The sequence below is a fragment of the Homo sapiens genome, chromosome 20, assembly GCF_000001405.40.
Source record: "Homo sapiens chromosome 20, GRCh38.p14 Primary Assembly".
In the NCBI taxonomy this organism is placed as follows: domain Eukaryota; kingdom Metazoa; phylum Chordata; class Mammalia; order Primates; family Hominidae; genus Homo; species Homo sapiens.
This window is the reverse complement of record NC_000020.11, coordinates 46,381,776-46,401,589: the sequence shown is the minus strand read 5'-3', so window position 1 is coordinate 46,401,589 and position 19,814 is coordinate 46,381,776. Positions and strand designations below refer to the sequence as shown.

The 19,814-nt window shown below is 44.0% G+C and overlaps 1 protein-coding gene and 1 long non-coding RNA gene across 10 annotated transcripts in view, besides 1 other annotated feature; one reads left to right on the top strand and one right to left on the bottom strand.

Moving 5' to 3' along the window:
- The window catches only part of ELMO2 (engulfment and cell motility 2), a 40,566-nt gene that overhangs the window by 5,026 nt on the left and 15,726 nt on the right, over window positions 1-19,814 (top strand). The window contains exons 2-10 of one of the 7 annotated variants that reach the window (XM_005260496.4): window positions 2,819-2,893; window positions 7,087-7,185; window positions 7,501-7,541; window positions 7,989-8,061; window positions 8,447-8,497; window positions 12,370-12,551; window positions 14,153-14,252; window positions 15,315-15,466; window positions 18,096-18,174. In XM_005260496.4, the coding sequence (XP_005260553.1) occupies window positions 7,108-7,185; window positions 7,501-7,541; window positions 7,989-8,061; window positions 8,447-8,497; window positions 12,370-12,551; window positions 14,153-14,252; window positions 15,315-15,466; window positions 18,096-18,174 (756 nt within the window). In that variant the 5' untranslated portion in view covers window positions 2,819-2,893; window positions 7,087-7,107. Of the gene's footprint in view, window positions 1-2,818; window positions 2,894-7,057; window positions 7,186-7,500; window positions 7,610-7,988; window positions 8,062-8,446; window positions 8,498-12,369; window positions 12,552-14,152; window positions 14,253-15,314; window positions 15,467-18,095; window positions 18,175-19,814 lie in introns of those variants that run through there. The other 6 variants (NM_133171.5, NM_001318253.2, NM_182764.3 and 3 more) reach the window with 6 other exon arrangements.
- LOC124904917 (uncharacterized) overlaps window positions 3,571-19,814 on the bottom strand; it is a 33,481-nt gene continuing 17,237 nt past the window's right edge. The window contains exons 1-3 of one of the 3 annotated variants that reach the window (XR_007067615.1): window positions 13,800-13,890; window positions 10,473-10,842; window positions 3,571-8,349 (exon numbers count right to left, since the gene is read on the bottom strand). This is a non-coding gene — a long non-coding RNA (uncharacterized LOC124904917). Of the gene's footprint in view, window positions 8,350-10,472; window positions 11,033-13,799; window positions 13,891-19,814 lie in introns of those variants that run through there. The other 2 variants (XR_007067614.1, XR_007067613.1) reach the window with 2 other exon arrangements.
- Window positions 6,857-7,356: an enhancer, noted in NCBI's record as "NANOG-H3K4me1 hESC enhancer chr20:45022873-45023372 (GRCh37/hg19 assembly coordinates)". NCBI's record gives its function as "activates a minimal SCP1, AML or CMV promoter by ChIP-STARR-seq in primed H9 embryonic stem cells {active_cell/tissue: H9 hESC(primed)}" and the evidence as "EXISTENCE:reporter gene assay evidence [ECO:0000049][PMID:30033119]".

The following is a 19,814-nucleotide window of genomic DNA, read 5'->3' as shown; positions in this document are numbered from 1 at the left end:
TACTTAAGCACTATTCTTTAAGTATAGGAACACTACAGAAGGTGTCTGTGCAGGATAAGAGAAGACCCAGGCCATTCTTACAGCAGGAATCAAGATGAAGAAACCCAAATAGTTCCCCTGCCCCCACACCCCTTCTCACCACACCTTTGCCTCTATGTAAGTTTGTGGCTTTTTACCATGTGTGAATGAGTCCTGTGTCTAACATACTTCAACAAAAAGGGGAAACCTCAGCTGCTGTTGGTATGGTGGTCCTTCCCAGGGCTTCCAGCAGTAAACATAAGAACCTTAATCTCTGCCAGTCAAATCCTCCCTTTTCTGTACCTCAGAGTCTGATCGTCATTCAGTGGACTGAACTAAGGGAAGTTGAATCACTTCTCAGATGAGAAGATTTCAGAGGGGGAAGCCTTTATAGAGATTGTGTTCTCGATTAGAAAGGGCGTGACTCCAACTTGCCTTCTTGATGAGGTTGCATTCTGTTGCAGGAAACATAAACCAAACTTACCCATGCCTCCTTCACCAAATCAAAAGCCAAATAACTGAACAAAAAGTACACATCCGTTCTTATCCTGAAAGGAATAGGGGGAAGGAGGGGAGCTGGAAACCTGGCATTCTTCATCCCAAATTCCTTACTAATAGGAGGAGATCATCTTTCACTTCATTCCTTAAGATTCGGTTTCCAATCCTGCTCTCAGAATCCAGCTCCGTGAAGCAGCAGTCACTGCATGGGTGATTGATAAAGCTCCATGGGGCTTCTGTAACAGTGCTGATTTTATAAGCACACCTTCTAGAAGCCACTTAGAGACTGCTCCATTGGAGACACTAATGTTCCTATTTTTCTCTACTTTTCCCAGCTCTGTGTTTGAAAAACTGGCCTTTCATTCTTATGACTTATAGTAAAATTGTCATCAGGTCAGTGTGTGCCTGTCTCCTGTTTTGTAGCATTTTGAGTTTTCCAAATCATCCTTATATCTGTAATGCTTAAAGAGGAGTGGAAGGTAGAAGGGTGGGGAGTTGTTTAATCCGGAAGGGGCCCTCTGGGCCTGGATATGGAACTACAGCTCCCTTATGCTGGTGGTTTGCAATTGAGCTACAGTACTGCTGAGTGGCGGAGCAAGAGGCTATTTATAACCCTGAGAATTTTGCAATGTTACTGAATTCCTTTGACCTAATTTCTACTTCCTTTCTAGAATGAAAATGAAGGGAGTAAGCAAACACGTGCTGGAAGGGTTCCCTATAAGGAGATCCTTTATCCTGGGAATATTATCTGGAGAACAGAATTATTTCTAGTCTCCTATCTCCTGATGTTTCTTTTCGATAGGGAGAAAAGCAGAGGGAGGTTTTCCTCTTTCTTTCAACTAGAGTTAGGGGTGCTAACCCTGATTTTTCAGTAAGACTTATTCTAATGTTTGATATGAAAACAACAGTTTTTTATTTTATTTTTATTTTTTAATAGAGACAGGATCTCACTTTGTCACCCAGGCTAGAGTTCAGTGACATGATCATAGTTCACTGCAGCCTCGAACTCCTGGGCTCAAGCAACTCTCCTGCCTCAGCCTCCTGAGTAGCTAGGGACTACAGGCACACGCCACCATGCCCAGCTAATTTTTATTTTTTGTAGAGAAATGTCTCGAACTCCTGGCCTGAAGTGATCCTCCTGCCTTGACCTCCCAAAGCATTGGGATTACAGGTGTGAGCCACTGCGCCCAGCCAAAACAAACTGTTAAACAATGGAAATACTGTGTAGTTAGAGGGTATTGGGACGCAGAGGGAACACCAGACAGCCTGCACAGTTCATGCCTGTCCCTGTCTGTTTGGAGCCAGCCTGGTTCACAGGAGTGGAAGAAATCAGAGCCATTGGGTTTAAGCAGACACAGGTGCTTACTGAGCCTTCACTGGACACCAAGTGCTGTGCTAGGTTATGAGACTGCAGAGTTATACCTGTTCTGGAGGAGGAGCTAGTGGAGATGTGTAAATATGTAACTGTAATAGAGTATGACAAAATCGTACTCATTAACGGAAGTATGAACAGGATGCTGTGAGAACACAGAGGCCCCTGTCCTATTTACTTTTGCCAGGGAAAGTAGAGAAAGCTAAGACTAGTACAAGGAGGAGGTAACATCCGAACTAGGCTCTGATGCTTGAATAGGAGCTCTTCTGACAGTCAGTAGGAGGAAGAGAATGTGCAAAGGTACAGAAGAATTGAAAGAACATGGCCTGCCTTATAGAAATAGCCCGTAGTCCAGGATGGCTAGATTGTAAAGGACCAAATAGCACACGAGGGAGTGTGGCCCACCTGTAGACAGTGGAGAGCTGTCTTCTGTTACAATGGTGAGTTCTTGCTGTGAAGGTTTCTTAGCCTCAGTGTGCTTTGGTTTCAGATACACAAACCAGAAATCTCCACAAAGCACCTGCTGCGGGTCAGGTGCAGAGCCACCTGCTTTCTCATGGCTTTCCAGCAACACCAGACAACCTGGTATCAAATTCTGGCTGTGCCACTTGCTAGCTATGTGACACTGAGCCTTCTACTTAACTCCTCTGTGCCTCCATTTTCTTATCTCTAAGGTGGGGATAATAACATACCACACAGCATTGCTGTGTGGATTAAATGAATTAATATATGTAAAGCCCTTAAAATAGTGCCTTAGCATTATGTAATTGCTAGCTAATGTCATCATCTAAGGAAGTATTATATAGAGCGATGAGAACTCGCTTTGGAGTCCTAAGACCTAGGCTTGAGACCCAGTTCTGATGTGTTGGGTTGATTTAGTTTTATTTCTTTTCCCTCCCTTCATTTTTTTTCTTTCCTTCCTTCTTTTAGGAGGGAGGTGTAGAAAGAGGTACATGGAGAACAAGTTTGTCAATCCGTCTGAACTTCAGTTGCCTTACCTGTAAGGTAGGAATGTTTTTCAGAGTTCTTATGAGCATCAACTATAATAATGATATAGAAGTGAGCAATCAACTATAAAGAGGCTACCTGGGCTGGGCACAGTGGCTCACGCCTGTAATCCCAGCACTTTGAGAGGCCGAGGCAGATGGATCACCTGAGGTCAGGAGTTCAAGACCAGCCTGGCCAACATGGTGAAACCCCGTCTCTACTAAAAATACAAAAATTAGCTGGGCGTGGTGGTGAGTATCTGTAATTCCAGCTACTCAGGAAGCTGAGGCAGGAGAATCGCTTGAACCCAGGAGACAGAGGTTGAAGTGAGCTGAAATCATGCCATTGCACTTCAGCCTAGGCGACAAGAGCAAGACTCCATCTTTTAAAAAAAATTTAAAAAAATAAAAATAAAGAGGCTACCTGTACGTTACTACTAGATATATGATTACTATGAAGTTACCATATAACCGATCTGTTTCAAACAAATCAGACTTATCTAGTGGGTAAGAGCAAACCCATGGGTTTTGCTCTCATTAATTCAGCCATTGTTAATTAAGTGCTTACCCAGTACCATCATCATATGCTAGTGATGCTGCTGTCTGCTCAGACCTCCGTTTTAGAGTTCCTGCAGAGCTTGGGGGCAGCTGTGGTCTTAGGCGTATTAGTTGCAATGAGTAGAAACATAGACTAGCTTAATTTATAGGAGTTTTATTGGCAGGATACAGTGGACTTTCAGGTACCCCGAGCATAGGAAGTAATAGCCACATAATCTGGAAAGTTAGCAGGTAATGGCTTTTCCATCTCTTTCTGATTTCTGGCCTCAGTTCATTTAGATATTTATGGATTCCTCCTGCAGAATCACTTCCTCTGAAAGGCTCTTGGTTTTTTATTCTCCATATCTTTGGCTCGTACGGATCTTTGGCTTGCCATGGTATTCGCTCTGAAGCTTACTATGATCTTACTTCTCCAGGGTCATTATCACCCAGTTCCCTTAGTCTGTGTCTTTTATTTGTTTGTATGTATGTATGTGTGTATTTATTTATGATGGAGTCTCATTCCGTCGCCCAGGCTGGAGCGTAATGGTGCAATCTGTGCTCACTGAAACCTCCGCCTCCTGGGTTCAAGCTGTCCTCCCTGCCTCAGTCTCCCGAGTAGTTGGGATTACAGGCGCCCACCATCATGCCTGGCTACTTTTTGTATTTTTACTAGAGACGGGGTTTTGCCATGTTGGCCAGGGTGGTCTCAAACTCCTGACCTCAGGCGATCCACCCACCTTGGCCTCCCAAAGTGCTGCGATTATAGACATGAGCCACCACGCCCAGCCAGTCTCTGTCTTTTAAATTCAAGAGAAAGAACTGGAATAGTTCAGCTAAAGTTGGGTATTCACTTTAGTCCCATCAGCTATGGCAGGGTTGTGGAGAGTGTCATTCAGTTCAGAGAGGCTGCCTGGGCTTTGTGGGAAGGACAGAGTCACTGAGAATGGGGGCTTATTAATATCTTTCAAATAGTTTGGTGGTTGCAAATCTCCATGCTTTAAAATGTATACGAATTTTTGAACAGCCGAGAATCATTCAGGGCTAACTTTAATAAAGAGAGAGTCAATCTAGGATATGTCATATGGGGTCAAGAGAAAATAATAGCTATAACCTAATGAGCTTTAGCTTAATCTCCAAAGACGGCGTTCAGAAAGGAGTTAAAAATCATGGGGTTTGTTTCTTAGCAGCACCATCGAAATTAAGGAAGGGTGTAACTTCATTTGGTAAGGACTTTAAAATGGGCATCCTCACTTGGATTTTTTAAATTCCACTTAAGAATCATGGACTTTTAGACTTAGAAGGCACCTGAGACATGCTTTAGTTCTACACTCACATCTTTCAATAGAAGAAAACTGAGATTTGGTTAAAGGGCCATGTATACATTGTGAAAGACCTAGGATTGGGTCCTGAGGCCTTTGGTTCTAAATCCAGTCACTTGTTTCAGCAGGGACAATTATCCCAGCCCAGTGTTCTTTCTGTTGTACCTTCTGTGCCTGCTTATTTTAAAAATAAGAAGAAGCCAAACTAAACAAATGATCTAAAAAGTCATATCGTATAGTTCCATTTATATGAAGTACAAAACCAGGCAAAACTCATGGATGATGATAAGTCAGAAATTCCCCTTTAAAGGACTGGAAGGATTGACGGGAAGAGGAAGTATGAAGTAATTTTCTAGGGTGATGAAAATGTTCAGTGTCTCGTTTTGAGTGCTGGTTACAGGGAGATGCATGTGTATATTTATATGATGTATATTTATATATACAAACATATGTACCCTTAAGCCCTCTGCATTTTATTGTATGTAAATTATATCTCAGTTTTTAAAATTGACCTCACAACCGTGCAGTCCTGTCTACTAATTGCAGCAGCTTTGCCGATAAGGATAAGGATGCATCTCTAAGCATCCAGAGATTGATGGCGCCACCCCTAGAACAAGAACTCCCTGTCTTGCTGTAACTGGAGCAGAGCATTTTCCCCAGAAATTATGCAGATAGGGCCAGTTTCTTTTCTGAGGTTTGTCGTGTGTCTAGGCACATAAAAATTACATGTGAAAAATTCTGCCATGAGCTGCAGAAGTTATGGAAGCCTTGGGGGCCATAAGGCCAACCCACTTCAATCCCTTTAGGCTGCGTTTAATTGCAGTGGACAGAAGTTGAGGCTGGCTCAAAGGAAAAGGGGAAAGCATTGGCCGAAGCCAGTCCAAGTTCTGTCAACCGTTATGACTTACTAGCTGGGTGACCTTGGGCACTTAACAAAACACTGAGCTTTAGTTGTGCCATCTTCAAATGGAGGTGATAATCCTGTTCTGCCTAATTCGTGGGGCTGCTGGGAGGACACAATAAAATAAGTGAAAGCACTTGGAAAACTAGTTCCTTTACATTGTCATGTTCTGGAAATGCTGGCTTTTTATGACAGTAGACTTCTGAAGCATCCCATTCTGACTAGGAAATGGTCATGAAAGCATCCCTCTTTCTGAGGCCGATGGGCTTGTGGGGGACAGGACTTTTACTCCTTTTCATCTAAGAGGTTTATACTTACCAGGCTGTGAGAACTGACATCTGTGTTTGGGCTGAAAAATTGATAGCATACATGCATAATAGCCTCGCGACAGCTATGCTTTGTACGCCAGGAGAGGCAGGTGGTCCCCATTAGCGAGGCATGAATTGTGGGTGAATGGCTAAACCTGGAGGATGCAGAAAGGTCTTTTTCATTAAGAGAGGGGCCTCTCCTGAACTTGTAGGCAAGGAGTGTAAATATACATTGAAATAATCCATCAGCCAAGTGACTTCCCTTCGTCAGACCTTGGAGAGAGAATGCTTTAGTTACTGCTTGGAATACCAGTAAGCTATCAGAGTTGCCTAGGATACCAGTCACATGGGCCCATCTTCCAGACTTGCTCAGGATGATTTATTTTCCTTTATTTTGGAGAGAAGTGGGGGAGGGGGTCAGAGGTACTTGCAAAGCCTTGTCCTTATAAGAGGGGCCCTTGTGTGAGGATATCCTTACCTCTCTCCACTTGAGTTGTCAGCCGCCCTTGCCCTTGGCAGTAGGGACGAAAATAGCATTTCCTGTCCCAGTTATCTTCCCCATTTTCTGATGTCGTCCCACACAGAGGAGGCTTTGCATTGTGTCCTTTGAGGGGAAAGGGGTGGCATCGATGAGTGGGGAGGAAGCAAGAGAGCATGTAGCTGGGCCCTGCTGATGCTGGGATCTTCCTAGGATGACTGCAGAAAGAAGTAGCCTGGCTCCTCCAGCTAACCACTCAACCAAGAAAAGGCTGTCTATTCTTATCTGTCTCGGAGCATATGCTTCTCTCCTCCCAAGGTCTCAAGACAGGAATTTGCAGTAAATACATTCCTCTACCACTGAGTCTTCTTGACTCTTAAACTGAAGTGCCACATTGGCATATCTTGCTACTGGCTGATCTATGGATGATAGATAGTTTGTCCCATTTCTTCTTGCTGATTTAATCTCAAGAGACAAAATCCTAAGCAGAAGTTGTGGTATGATCTAGAAAAATTCAAACCAGGTAGTTTCATGTGTTACTTTATGCAGTGTCTGTCTTCAAACTCTTCAAAACATGTAACAAGAGTGAAAAATGAAGAAATACTCTTTTTCCACCTTTCTGATTCTTTCTCCCCAGGCAGCCGTGTCTGTGTTTTTGTCTCGCAGAATTAGAGCCCATTGGGAACGATGCCACCACCGTCAGACATTGTCAAAGTGGCCATTGAGTGGCCAGGTGCTAACGCCCAGCTCCTTGAAATCGACCAGGTATGCTCCTGAAGTGAGAAGCAGTGGTTCAAGGAAAGGCACCTGGGGAGTGCATGGCAGAGGACATCTTGAGGGATGGGGACCACCGGCATCAAGAGTAAGAACGAGCAACAGGAAGGCTAAGCTTTGGGCCTGGCCCACCCTAGGGAAGGTCGGTCACCATGGCTTGGGAGAGGCTTCCTCTTCAACAAAAGCTGTTAGGAAAGAAGTTCATTCTCATGCCCCAGCTTGACCCTGCTTGGCAGGCCTCTTGTCAGAACCTTGGCATGAGTAGGATGTTGCTGCTGTTGAAGGCTTTCTCTCTCTCTCTTTCAGAAACGGCCCCTGGCATCCATTATCAAGGAAGTTTGTGATGGGTAGGTTGAAATGGACCTCGTTTTCAACAGTGGCAGCTCCGACTGAAAGAGCACTCCTACACCTTGAGGGGAGTTCTGGGAAGGATCTCCAGTTAGGCAGGTCCTCAGCATGGGGGTCTTGGGAATCATTGTCTTGGGAAGGAAGTACAGTTGACAACCATACCCCTAAGACGTTTATACTTCTTAATTTTTTCCTTAAAGTCTAGCATTGCCCTATTGAGGTAGGATCTGAGACCCCTCCTCAGTTCTGCACACCTCCTATTGTGGTGCTCATCTTTACAAAAGGCTGAGGCCATGATTTTTTCAACATGACAACCTAAAGCTTTGTTTCCACTGTATTCCAAATAGGCCACCCAATCCCTTGAGCAACTCTTTTGAAAATTACTTATGAGCAGCTTCTGAACAAGAGAGTGGCCAAGTGGGATATACTGTTTTTCTCTTGCATAGGTGGTCGTTGCCAAACCCAGAGTATTATACCCTCCGTTATGCAGATGGTCCTCAGCTGTACATCACCGAACAGGTTAGTACAGGGAGAGGCAAAATCAATATGGGCCTTGCTTGGAATTAAACGACCCAAGGAGACGGCACTATTTATCTTCACTCAGCATCCAGGTAGCTTCCATGTGTTGGGTAAAGAGTCACTCTCCGGACAGACTGGGAAACACCAGCCCTTGTTCTTCCCTAGTGGCTAGAAAAAGGTGGCTTTTACTTCCTGAGTGCCCAGGGTGCTAGAGGAGGATCTTAGAAATTCTTTGCCAAGGAATAAGCAGGAGAAGAGGGCCCGACTGAAGATCCTCAGTTACATCTACTGTAAAAAAGACAAAACATTATTGTTGATTCAACTTGCTTGTACCACTTTAACATTTTATCTTAGTTACTTTTTTTGTTTATTTTTCACTACCCAGACTCGCAGTGACATTAAGAATGGGACAATCTTACAACTGGCTATCTCCCCGGTAGGTATTCTTTCTTCCTTAGGAGTTTATTCATGTCACAAACAAATATGAGCACCTACCATGGGCCAGACTCTGTTCTAGAAATAAGTACTCTGGAGATAAGAAAGTCAGTCTTTTTGTATCAGGAAATAGTACAGGAAAATAAGTCTGTCTTGGTTCTCACCACCTAGTGGGGAGTAAACAAATGCAATAGAAGGCCTGTCTCAAGGGTCTTGAGAGAAAGTTGCTTAGGGAGCTGTGGGAACTCACAAAGGGGACCACCTAACTCAGCCTGGAGATTTCCAGAAAGTCTTGCCAGAGAAGGCGTCACTTAGCTCAGATGTTAAAGGATGAGCAAGAATTAGCTAGAGAAATAAGAAAAGGAAAAGTATTCCAGTCAGAGAAATCAGCATATGCCAAGGCACAGAGGTATGCTGTGTTTGGGAAAAGCAGGAGTGCTGGGTGGCTGGAGGCTTGTAGCAGTCATTGAGAAGCCAGATATTCAAGGTTCCTTGATGGCCTACTCGTAGGTTTCAACTCTGTCCAGAAGGAAACTGGGGACATTGAAGAATTTTAAGCAGGAAGATATGTTATGTTTAGATTTTAAGTTTTAGAAAGATCACTTTAGTGACCATGTGGAAGATGGGCCTTAAGAAGAAGGTTGGTGGTAGTAGGAACCTTTGAAGAGGCTAATAAGGAATGTTAACAGCCCAGTGAAGGCAAGTGGTAATGGAGATGAAAGGATGGATATGAAGAGTATCTAGGAGGTAAGCTTTATGAGTATGGTGATATGCTAGATGTGGAAGGAAAGGGGAGAATGGAGGATGACCCTGATTTGTGCAAGAGCAGCCCTTAAAGGTCACTAAGGAAGCAACCAGAAGGGTAGAAAGAACACCAAGAAGGTGAAGTGACTGAGGAGCTTTGGGCAGGGAGAGTGTCAGGACTGAGGAGAGTATGGTCTGCAATTTTTAATAAGCAGAGAGATTTAGTAAACTGAGAGCAGAAAAGCTGTCTAATGACTTGGGAGGTTAGAGGACACTGGTGATACTCACAAAAAAGTTATGGTGGGGAGGCCAGGTGGCCACACTGAAGTGGTCAAGTAAAAGAAAGGTAAAACAGTGAGGACTTTGAGTCTACTGCTGTATCAAGAAGCTTGGTTTTAAAAGAAAACACAGAGAAGGTGATAATGCGAAGGGGACGTGGAGTCAAAAAGATGTGCTTTTTAAAAGCAGGTAAAGCATTCATGTGTTTCACAAATCAAAAATTTTCACAGAGATGTAGCAAAAGGTCTCCCCGCAACTCCTGTCCCCATCTGCCCAGTTCCCCACCTTTCTGACCCTTCGTGTTGGTTGTTTCTGTTGCAATTTTTTATGTGCCCTTAAGAATGTGTTCAGATGGAAGAGAGGAAGGTTGAAGGTGCAGGAAAGCAGGTAATCAATAGAACAGGACCTTACTGGACCAGGAGAGGAAGGACTCAAAGCCCAGGTAGAGGGAATCACTTTGACTGCTAGGCCCATGAAGAAGACAGCCAATATGGTTGCACCTTTGGTTACATTTGTAGAAGGGCAGCCAGAAAATTAAGGGCATGATGGCACTTCTTTTCTTGGTGCAGAGAGAGACTGGTTCATCTGAGAGGAGGGGAGGTATGAAGTGATATCAGCCAGCGTTTACTGAATGCCTATATTTTGCTAAATACTTTGTGTAATTAAATCATCTAATCTTTACAGACATCCCATGAGATAGGTACTCTTGATAGCCCCATTCTGTAGGCAAGGAAACTGAGGGTTAGAGAGGTTAAATTACTTGCCACTTGTCACACAGCTAATAAAGTAGCCAAGCCCGCTCTCAGACCCAGGTCTGTCTGACTCTAGGCCCATATTCCTCCCATCATGTTCTTCTGCCTCCCCCTCTTCTCCTGAACTCTTCTCATCTTAAGGACTTCATTCTTCCCTCCTAAGCTCTGGTAATTTAATATGACAGTCTGGGAGTTACTCACTTTTATGGAAGTGCCGACACATTTCACAGACCTCTTGCACAGTGTAGTTGACTTTCCCAGAAGCACATCTCTCTGGAGCGGGAGGCAGCAGCCCAGAAATGCTGTCTCAGGAGGAAAATTGACATTTGGAGTTGGAGGTTTCTAAGTGGGATGCAGACCAGTGCTCTTCAGATTGTTCTATGCTATGACCTTTTCCCGTGGCGCACATTTTCTCCACTGTAGAGATAGCGAGGGCTTCTGTATTGCAGAGAGCACTGTGCTTTGAAGGGCCAGCTTTGTAATAGTAAAAGAGGAGAGGCAAAGGGGAGAGGGCCAGCAGGCCTGACTCCTTGGCGGCAGCAGGAATTGGGCTCCAGTCACTTGCTTAACACTGAGAAAAAGGAAAGAAGACAGGTGTGTTTTTGTTCTTAAGTCTCTTGCTTTCTAGTGGAGAACATTAAATTAACACCCAAAAAACAGAGAATGATGAAACAATAAATTGTGAGGCACTATGTAGTAATGAGCTCAGCGGAAGGAAAGCCCAGTGAATACTAGAGGAGGGATTTTAGCCGCAGCTTGCAGAAAAGGAGGCAGGCATCCTGCTAGGAAAAGTTCATGTGCTAGGAGGAGGTTTTGTCTTCACCAGCCTTCATTTTCAAAAAACAATTGGGAAATTGTTTCTGGCTCCTTGATGTTCTTAAAGTTTCCCCAGAACTGTCACTTTGAGGAACAATCATATGGATTCTAAGAGAAAGTTTTTAAAAAATTGCCAGGCTTTTCACATTTTAGGATTAAAAGGGACCTTAGAGGACATCAGATTAAATTCTTCACCCAATGCAAGAATCCCTTCTACAGCGTCTTTGACAGGTGGTTGTCCAGATTCTCCTTGATTGCTTCTGCTGACAGGGAGCTTAATACCTCAAGAGAAACCTCTTCTGCTGTCTAACAGTTTTATAAATTTTATTTTATTTTATTTTATTTTTTTTGAGATGGAGTCTCACTCTGTTGCCCAGGCTGGAGTGCAGTGGCATGATCTTGGCTCACTGCAGCCTCCACCTCCTGGGTTCAAGCAATTTTCCTGCCTCAGCCTCCTGAGTAGCTGGGATTACAGGCGCATGCCACCATGCCCAGCTAATTTTTGTGTTTTTAGTAGAGACGGGGTTTCATCATGTTGGTCAGGTTGGTCTCGAACTCCTGACCTCGTGATCTGCCCGCCTTGGCCTCCCAAAGTGCTGGGATTACAGGTGTAAGCCACTGTACCTGACCAATTTTATTTTCTTTTTTATTTTTGAGAGAGAGTCTTGCTCTGTTACCCGGGCTGCAGTGCAGTGGTGCAGTCCTAGCTCACTGCAACCTTGAATTCCTGGGCTCAAGCAGTCTTCCCACCTCAGCCTCCTGAGTAGCTAGGACTACAGGTGTGCACCACCACACCTGGCTCATTTTAAAAAATTTTTTGGGAGTCAGGGTGTCACTCTGTTGGCCAGGCTGGTGTCTAACTCCTGGCTTCAAGCAATCCTGCCTTGGCCTTTCAAAGCCTTGGGATTACATGCATGAGCCACGCACCCAGCAAGACAGCTTAAATAGAAAACCTTCCTCTATTAAACCAGTATCTGTTTCTCTGTGACTTACCATCGTTAGTGGGCCTCCCAGATGCCTCCAGTATTCCCTTGGTAGGAATTTTTTAAATCCATAGGCCAAAGCGGTACAGAAAAGATGCAGATAACTACAGATTGGTTTTGGCATACTAATAACTCCCTGATTGATTCCACAAACATTTATTTAGCAACTCCTAAGCTGTGTGAAAAAACTAGTTCTGCCTCAGGTTTGGATGTCCACAGAAGGGCCTCTGTGAGCTATCCACAGAGTAGTAACCTGCTCCAAGGAGCAGATGGCACATATCTTGTCCCTGGCCTCCTAGTCCCGGGCTGCACGCCAGCTGATGGAGAGGACCCAGTCATCCAACATGGAGACCCGGCTGGATGCCATGAAGGAGCTGGCCAAGCTCTCTGCCGACGTGACTTTCGCTACTGAGTTCATCAACATGGATGGCATCATTGTGCTGACAAGGCTCGTGGAAAGTGGAACCAAGCTCTTGTCCCAGTGAGTATGACTAAGGTCTCGTTCCAAGGACTTCGACGATTTACTACATCCCACAGGGCATCCTAGTCTCATTTCCCTTGAGTCAAATAAGGAGTTTATTGAATACCACCTGTGTGCAGAGCAGTGTGCCAAGCACTAGAGTCCATACCAAGATATATAATTCCATATTGTGATTCTAAATCGTGTAGTCTATTTGGGCTCTCACAAATTAAATAACAGTACAAAACAGTACTGTGCCAAGTGAGCAGTGAAAATAGGGGCTAGAGAAGTCAGGAGGAGAGCAGTCACGTCGTGACAGACCTGTTAATTGCTGGAAATGTTTGGTTTGATGAGGGTTAGTGAGCAGATGGTCCAGTATCTCCCAGGTGTCTGTTTGTAATCATCCCCTGCTCCTCCCTCTTCAGTCACCTCCCAGCCCATACACACACACACACACACACACACACGCCTTCCTTTGTGTTTACCACAGGTGTCAACCTACCCATTCACCATCTCCCTGCCACACTTTTGCACAGGGAGGAGGAGACCAGAACTTTGTGATACCCACAAGCATCTTCATCATACCCCAGAGTTCACATGCATGCGGTGGGCAGCTGTGCCTTGTGAGCAGCAGTCAGTAAACAGGTGCTTGGAGCCTAACCTGCCAAAGAGGGAGTCAGAAATCTTCTCAGCCCATAGATCAACTATTGAAATTGTTAGCCAAATCGAGTAACTAATCATAGATATTTGTTTTACATATTGGATCTTCCAGCTGTATTGAAGTCCTGAAGCCTTCAGCTGCCATCAGCACTGACATAGTTCTACAGTCTCCCAAGGGTACAGGGTTAGACTGGCCTTAGTTTCACTCTCTTCAGCCTGAGGATAATAATAGCTACCTTGCAGTATTATTGTGAGAAGTATTGTTAATGAGAATGTGTCTGAACATGCTTTGTAAATAGGAATATCATCTGTTAATTCTAGAGCACTGTACAGATGTATAAAGGATTAAATGTATAAGGAGAAGAGAAAAAAGAGAAAACATTTTAATCCTTATTCTCTACCAGCACTAGAATAAGAGCTTTGCATACATCATCATCTTGTCGTCTCCACAACCCTGTGAGGTTAACGCTGTGAGACTAACTTGATTTTACAGAGGAAGAAATTGAATTTTGAAAAGATAAAATTTGCTTGGTTAGTAAGGTGGACAGGAACTGAACCCATCTCTTGCACTCTACTGCCTCTTGGCCCAAAGGTTAACATGGCACTTACACTTCCTTAGGTTCTCCCAACAGGTGTTGGAGTTTGACAAAGGTCCAATGTCTTCTTTGGTCTTGGGAAATAGATAAGTGATTCTGTGTCCCTGGGATGAAGCATATGGAGAAGGAAGATCTAATTACCCAGCAACATTTTTTTTTTTTTTTTTTTTTGCAGCGATAGATACCTGGGCTGAATCTGCTCTACACTGGCTAGGTGTGCACACAGGCACTTACAGTTACAGTTGCATCGACTGATTTCCCATGGGGTGTTCACATTAAAATTCATCTTTTTTGTGGCTGCCCTCACACCTGTGTTTCCCGATCTGAATCTTTGTCTATTTTGTGTGTGTGTTGCACGTGTCTCAGCTACAGTGAGATGCTGGCATTCACCCTGACTGCCTTCCTAGAGCTCATGGACCATGGCATTGTCTCCTGGGACATGGTTTCAATCACCTTTATTAAGCAGGTGAGGCCTCCAACATTCTGTCTTTCTCTCCTCCCTCAGCTGCCAGTTCACAAGGCTTAAGGGGAGATACAGGCAATATCGCCATTCTGGTGAGATCAGCTTTATATTCCCTGGGGCCAGATTTTTCATCCTCAAGCTCTAGTCTTCTGTGGCTTCTGAAAGATTTGCATTTTGTTATATTCTCAGGGCCTGCACTGAGATGGAACTGGACCGTCAGAACTAAATATGATCAAAGTAGAATTAGATTGTCAGTGAGACTGGGGATAAAGCCAGCCAGTCAACCAGTACTAGCCCTGAGTCTTTTGACCGACTTCCTGAGCTCTCTCTTCTTTTTGTATATATATAAAAAAAATTTGCATTTCATTTGTAAATTTGCCTTCTATTTACAAATCTGCAAGGTAGCCTGTTTGGATTGTCAGACTAAGTTCAGTGGGTAGGAGAGGGTACTTCTGGTTTTACCCTCCTTTCTTTTACACAAAGGAGCAGTGTCAATTCAGAATACTGAACTAAAACCAATGAATAATATTGTATCTGCTGCCCTAGAACTTCAGCTATCATTGGCTTAGGACATTGGGACTCCCCGACACTGGACACAAGTGAAATGACCATGTGTCAAGGATATTATAATGGGGACTGAGAAGAAGGATTAGAGTAAAAGGCTTCAAGGTCCTTTCTACCTCTCAAAGTCTAAGTGTGTTTAGGGGGAGTGTGTGTCAGGGGAGGTACATGGAGATAAAATGAGATCCCAGTATCAGTAAAATCCTCTGCTTTTTTATACCCCACTTTCTCAAACTGGAACCCTTATTTTGATAAAAAGAATTAAGCTTTTAGATTTTGAGGAAACACAATTAAGTGGATACTATAATCTGAGATTAAGGTATCCATGCCAAGGGAATCCCTGGCACATTGGCCAGGGTAGCCGTAAACCAGATACCACTATCCACCTAGCAACAGCTGCCCAAATGTGAAGCAGAGAGAGCTTCAAGGGCTAGCATCAGATGCTAAGCTTCTATCTTTCTTGGGCCCTGAGCTTCTCAATTGATGTGCCATCTCTGGGTCTAGATTGCAGGGTATGTGAGCCAGCCCATGGTGGACGTGTCAATCCTTCAGAGGTCCCTGGCCATCCTGGAGAGCATGGTCTTGAACAGCCAGAGTCTGTACCAGAAGATAGCCGAGGAAATCACCGTGGGACAGCTCATCTCACACCTCCAGGTGTGAGTAAAAAACCCTACACCTCCCTCCCTTCACTTGTCTGTCCTCTTTTCTCCTCTTATTTTAAGTCTTCCAATCCTACTCTCCTTTGCTTATATTCCAAGCTGTTGGTTGGCTTCTTCATTCATCACCTCTTCCACACTCCTGCCAGAATTTCTCCCATCATTCAGACTTGATCATGTCATGCTCCTGCCCAAAATCCTCTGTAACTCTCTCTGCCCCTTAGGTTAAAATGAAGATTTTCCCAGTCTTCCCATACCAGGGTGGTACCAGGCAAAATTAGATGCTTTCTCACATGGGCCCAGTAGTCTCTGTACCTATGATAATTATATAAAATACTGGATTTTTATTATCTGTTGCCCATTTTGAACATAGAGCCCCCTTGAAACAGAGACCAATCATTGTTGTATCCCCTGTTTTGATTTAAGTAGAGGCTCAATTAGTGCTTGTTGAATGAATGCTCACTGAACCGACGATGCACTGTGGGTGATTTGTAAGAAATATCACACAGGTGTGAGTTTGGAATATCAGTTCAAATCCAGGCTCTTCTGCATACTAGGTCTCTGCCATCAGCAAGTAACCTAGTCTCTTCTGGCCTCAGTTTCTTCATCTCTAGAATAGGTTAATCACCTTCACCTCTCACACTGTGAGGATCAAAGGAGATTTTAAAAAGGTCCAGCATAGAGGCCAACCTGGGTTAGGTATTCAGTAAATTCAGGGGCTTTTTTCCTTTGTTTGTTTGTTAAGACTCTTATCACATCCTAAAACATTTTACCAGATACTGAGACCATATGACAAATGAACCCATTGGAGCAATGTTTCTCCCGTCTCCGCTGTTTTTACCTCACTTCCAACCAACCTACACCATGTAAGGAAGCTGGACTTTGCAAAACAGTGGTGGCACTCCTGTTGATTCTCTTCTGACTGTTGTTCACTTCTGTTTTTTAGACATTGTCAGAATGTTGCCAGAATCCCCCACCAGTTCGAGGGGAAGTCATAGCTCCCAGATTTGGGAGTTTATAGTGGCCCTGTCTTCACTCAGCTATGCTCCCAACTTGTTTTTCCCCACTAATCCAAGTAAAAAGAAAGCACAATTATTTCTTTGCAACTCTGATTTCTCCTTGTCACTTTTAAGGAATTTTCAGCCTCAGCTTTCTTTGCTTTTCTTTTTTGAGACAGGGTCTCACTCTGCCGTCCAAGCTGGAGCGCAGTGGCATGATCATAACTCACTGCAGGCTCAAGCGATCCTCCCCATCTCAGCCTCCCGAGTAGCTGGAATCACAGGCACACTCCACAACACCTGGCTAGTTTTTTTTTTTTTTTTATTTTTGTAGAGACAGGGTCTCGCTGTGTTGTCCAGGCTGGTCTCAAACTGTTGGGCTCAAGCAGTCCTCCCACCCCAGCCTCCTGAGTAGCTGGGACTACAGGTGTGAGTCACCATGCCTGGTCTAGCCTCAGCTTTCATACCCAGCGAGCCACCAAGGTTGATTAAGGTGAGAGGGACATTATAAACTCCAGATAGAGAATTCTGATTTTCCTGTAACCTCACATCTACTTCTCTGGTTTTTTTTTTTGTCTCTGAATTCAGAGTGGCCCCAGTTGCCTCCCTAGGGATGATAGGGGAACATGGCATTTCATAGGAGCCAATACTTTCAGCCCACAGCTGTCACCAGAACTTATATGCTTTCCTTTTTGGGCTGAGGGATACTTAGTGCCCTCTGTTAGACTCCCTGGGTACCATGTGACTAACCAGGAAGCCCATCAGACCCTCTGGAAAGACAGCCACAGAATGCACCCAAGACATGGCAGGTGGAGATGTCAAGTACCAGGATTGTAAGATTCCAGAGAATGATTGTAGTTATTTTGTTTGTTCATAATAAAATAAGTTTATAGTCAAAGACTTTAAAAATACAGAAAAACGCAAAATTATTTGCCCATTATCTCACCTCCAGACATACCCACTGTTAAACATTAAATTGAATGTCCCTTCAGTATTTTTATGCATATTTTTAACAAAATCGGGATCTCATTATATATACTATGTGTACCTTGATTTTTTTTAACTGAATAATACACCTTGAACATTTCTCCATGTCAAAGATTTTTCTAAAAGGGTAGTTCTAAGTCTTTTTTGCAACCTAGACACCTTTGAAAATCTGGTAACAAGTATATACTCTCACCAGTTTGGAAAAAATACCACTTAGTTGGCAAACTACATAGAATAATTTCTGTATCATTCCTGGGGTTCACAAATACTCTAAGCTCATCCCTGAATCCCAGGTTAAGAATCTTTACCCTAAAACATGACTTTTAATAACTACTTAAGATTCTCATATGTATAAATGTTGGCTAATGTGACCATTTGGATTACTTTCCATTCTTTTTTAAGTAGTACTTTAATGAAACGCCTTGTCAGTAAATCTTGCATAGCTCTCTGATTACTGTCTTAGGATAAATTCCTATTAGTGAAATTGCTGGGTCAAGAGCATGCCCACTTTGAATGCTTTTGAGACTGAGCTCCAGATCATTATTTGCTTATAATCTGTGAGTGATTGTTTTAAACCATTTCTAAGCATCATCTTGCTGTTCAGTCTTCTAATCTCCCTCTCTCTTCTTTCTCCATTGACACAGCTCCAACCAGGAGATTCAGACCTACGCCATTGCACTGATTAATGCACTTTTTCTGAAGGCTCCTGAGGACAAACGACAGGTCTGTGGCTGCCTTTTCACATTTTTCATCTGGGCTCTTCTGAGATAATTCTCACCCCATGCACTCTTTGCTATGCAGAGAGCACAAATCCAGCAATTTTCCCAAGAGTTCTTCCTCTTAGCTGTCTGGTCTGGAGCCCAGGAGGGTGGCTTTGCTAAGGAAGACCCAGGGAAGACCTATGAGGGGAAACCAGCTGGGTCTTAGATGAGAGCAGGGCCCTTCAAACTTTTTCCTCTAAAGGGCCAGAGAATAAATATGTTTGACTTTATGGGCCATATGGTCTATGTGATAGCTACTCAACCTTGCCATTGTAGCCAAAAGCAGCCTCGGCCAGTAGGTAAATGAATGGGTATGGCTGTCTTCCAATAAAATCTTATTTACAAAAACAGGCAACAGGCCTAATATGGCCATAGTTTGCCAACTCCTGGGTTACAGAATCAAGAATAAGGAAGAGGAGACCCTGTGGCTACCCTGAGTCCAAGGAGTCCAATATGAATGGGATTTCACACTAAATCTTAGGTTTAAAGGTTCTCTGATGGAGATTCTAAACATCTTCCTTCCCCTGTTCATTAACTGTGACATTATGCAGATAGCTCTGCCTCTGTGAACCTTAGTTTCCTCACCTGTCACATGGGAGCAACAACATCTGCCTTGTTTACCTCACAAGGATGTCTGAGGAAAAACAAGATCCCTGTTTCACAAATAAGGAAACTAAGAATCAGCTGGGTGGTGGAACAAACACTGACCTAAGAGCCGAGGGGCCTGGGACTAAGTATTCTCCCTGCTGCTGGCTGGACAAGTGTTTGTAACCTCTTTTTGGGTCTCAGTTTCTCTTTCTGTAAAATGAAAGGGCCAGTTTAAATGATCTCTGACAGCCCTTCCAATACTAACATTCTAGATTTCTCTGAGAAAAGCCCAAGTGGTGTTAAAAGTAAGACATTTTAGTTCTCTGACAATCTCATGGGCTCAGTAAGATGAAATTCAAGTGGGATCATGTATGTACCCAGCTCTTGGTAGATTCTAGAGGGAAGACCAGAAGCATCTGTGGTTCTGTCTGTCCTTGTCTTTCTTGGATGGCTTGGCTCTGTTAATCTGCCTTCCCGGTCCTTGTTTGAATGTAAGCTGAAAGCTCATTCCGTCTGCTTCTCTCTGTGCTTTTGCTTTCTGCCGGCAGGACAAGCACCTTAATCCTCTAGACCTGCCTGTCACTGTAAGTAGCACTGCCATGTGGAAAGGGCCCCAGCTCTTGCAGGTGGGGAAGTCAAAGCTAGGCAAGAATCTCATGGTCTGATCTAGATGTTCAGGGCATGCCAAGACCCAGGGAAAGGTTGTGTGCTGTGAATCTCCTTTGTCAGGACACTTAGGGAAGTACTGCAGATTAGAGTCACAGAAAGGATTAAGGGGGTACCTGCCCCAGGGAGTGTGGCCCCAGCCTTCCTTTATAACTTGCCTTTGCATGGGTCTGTAGTTCAACTAGGGCAGACCAGACTCAGAAACAGCTCGTAACTTTGATCTAGACAATACCATGGATGCGTCACCTTCTTACTTGCTTTAGTGGAAGAGAAAAGGTATCCGTGCCCTTTTTGGACTCTTACTAGACCGTGGGAATCCGAAAAGGTTTAGACAATCGACAAAAGGGA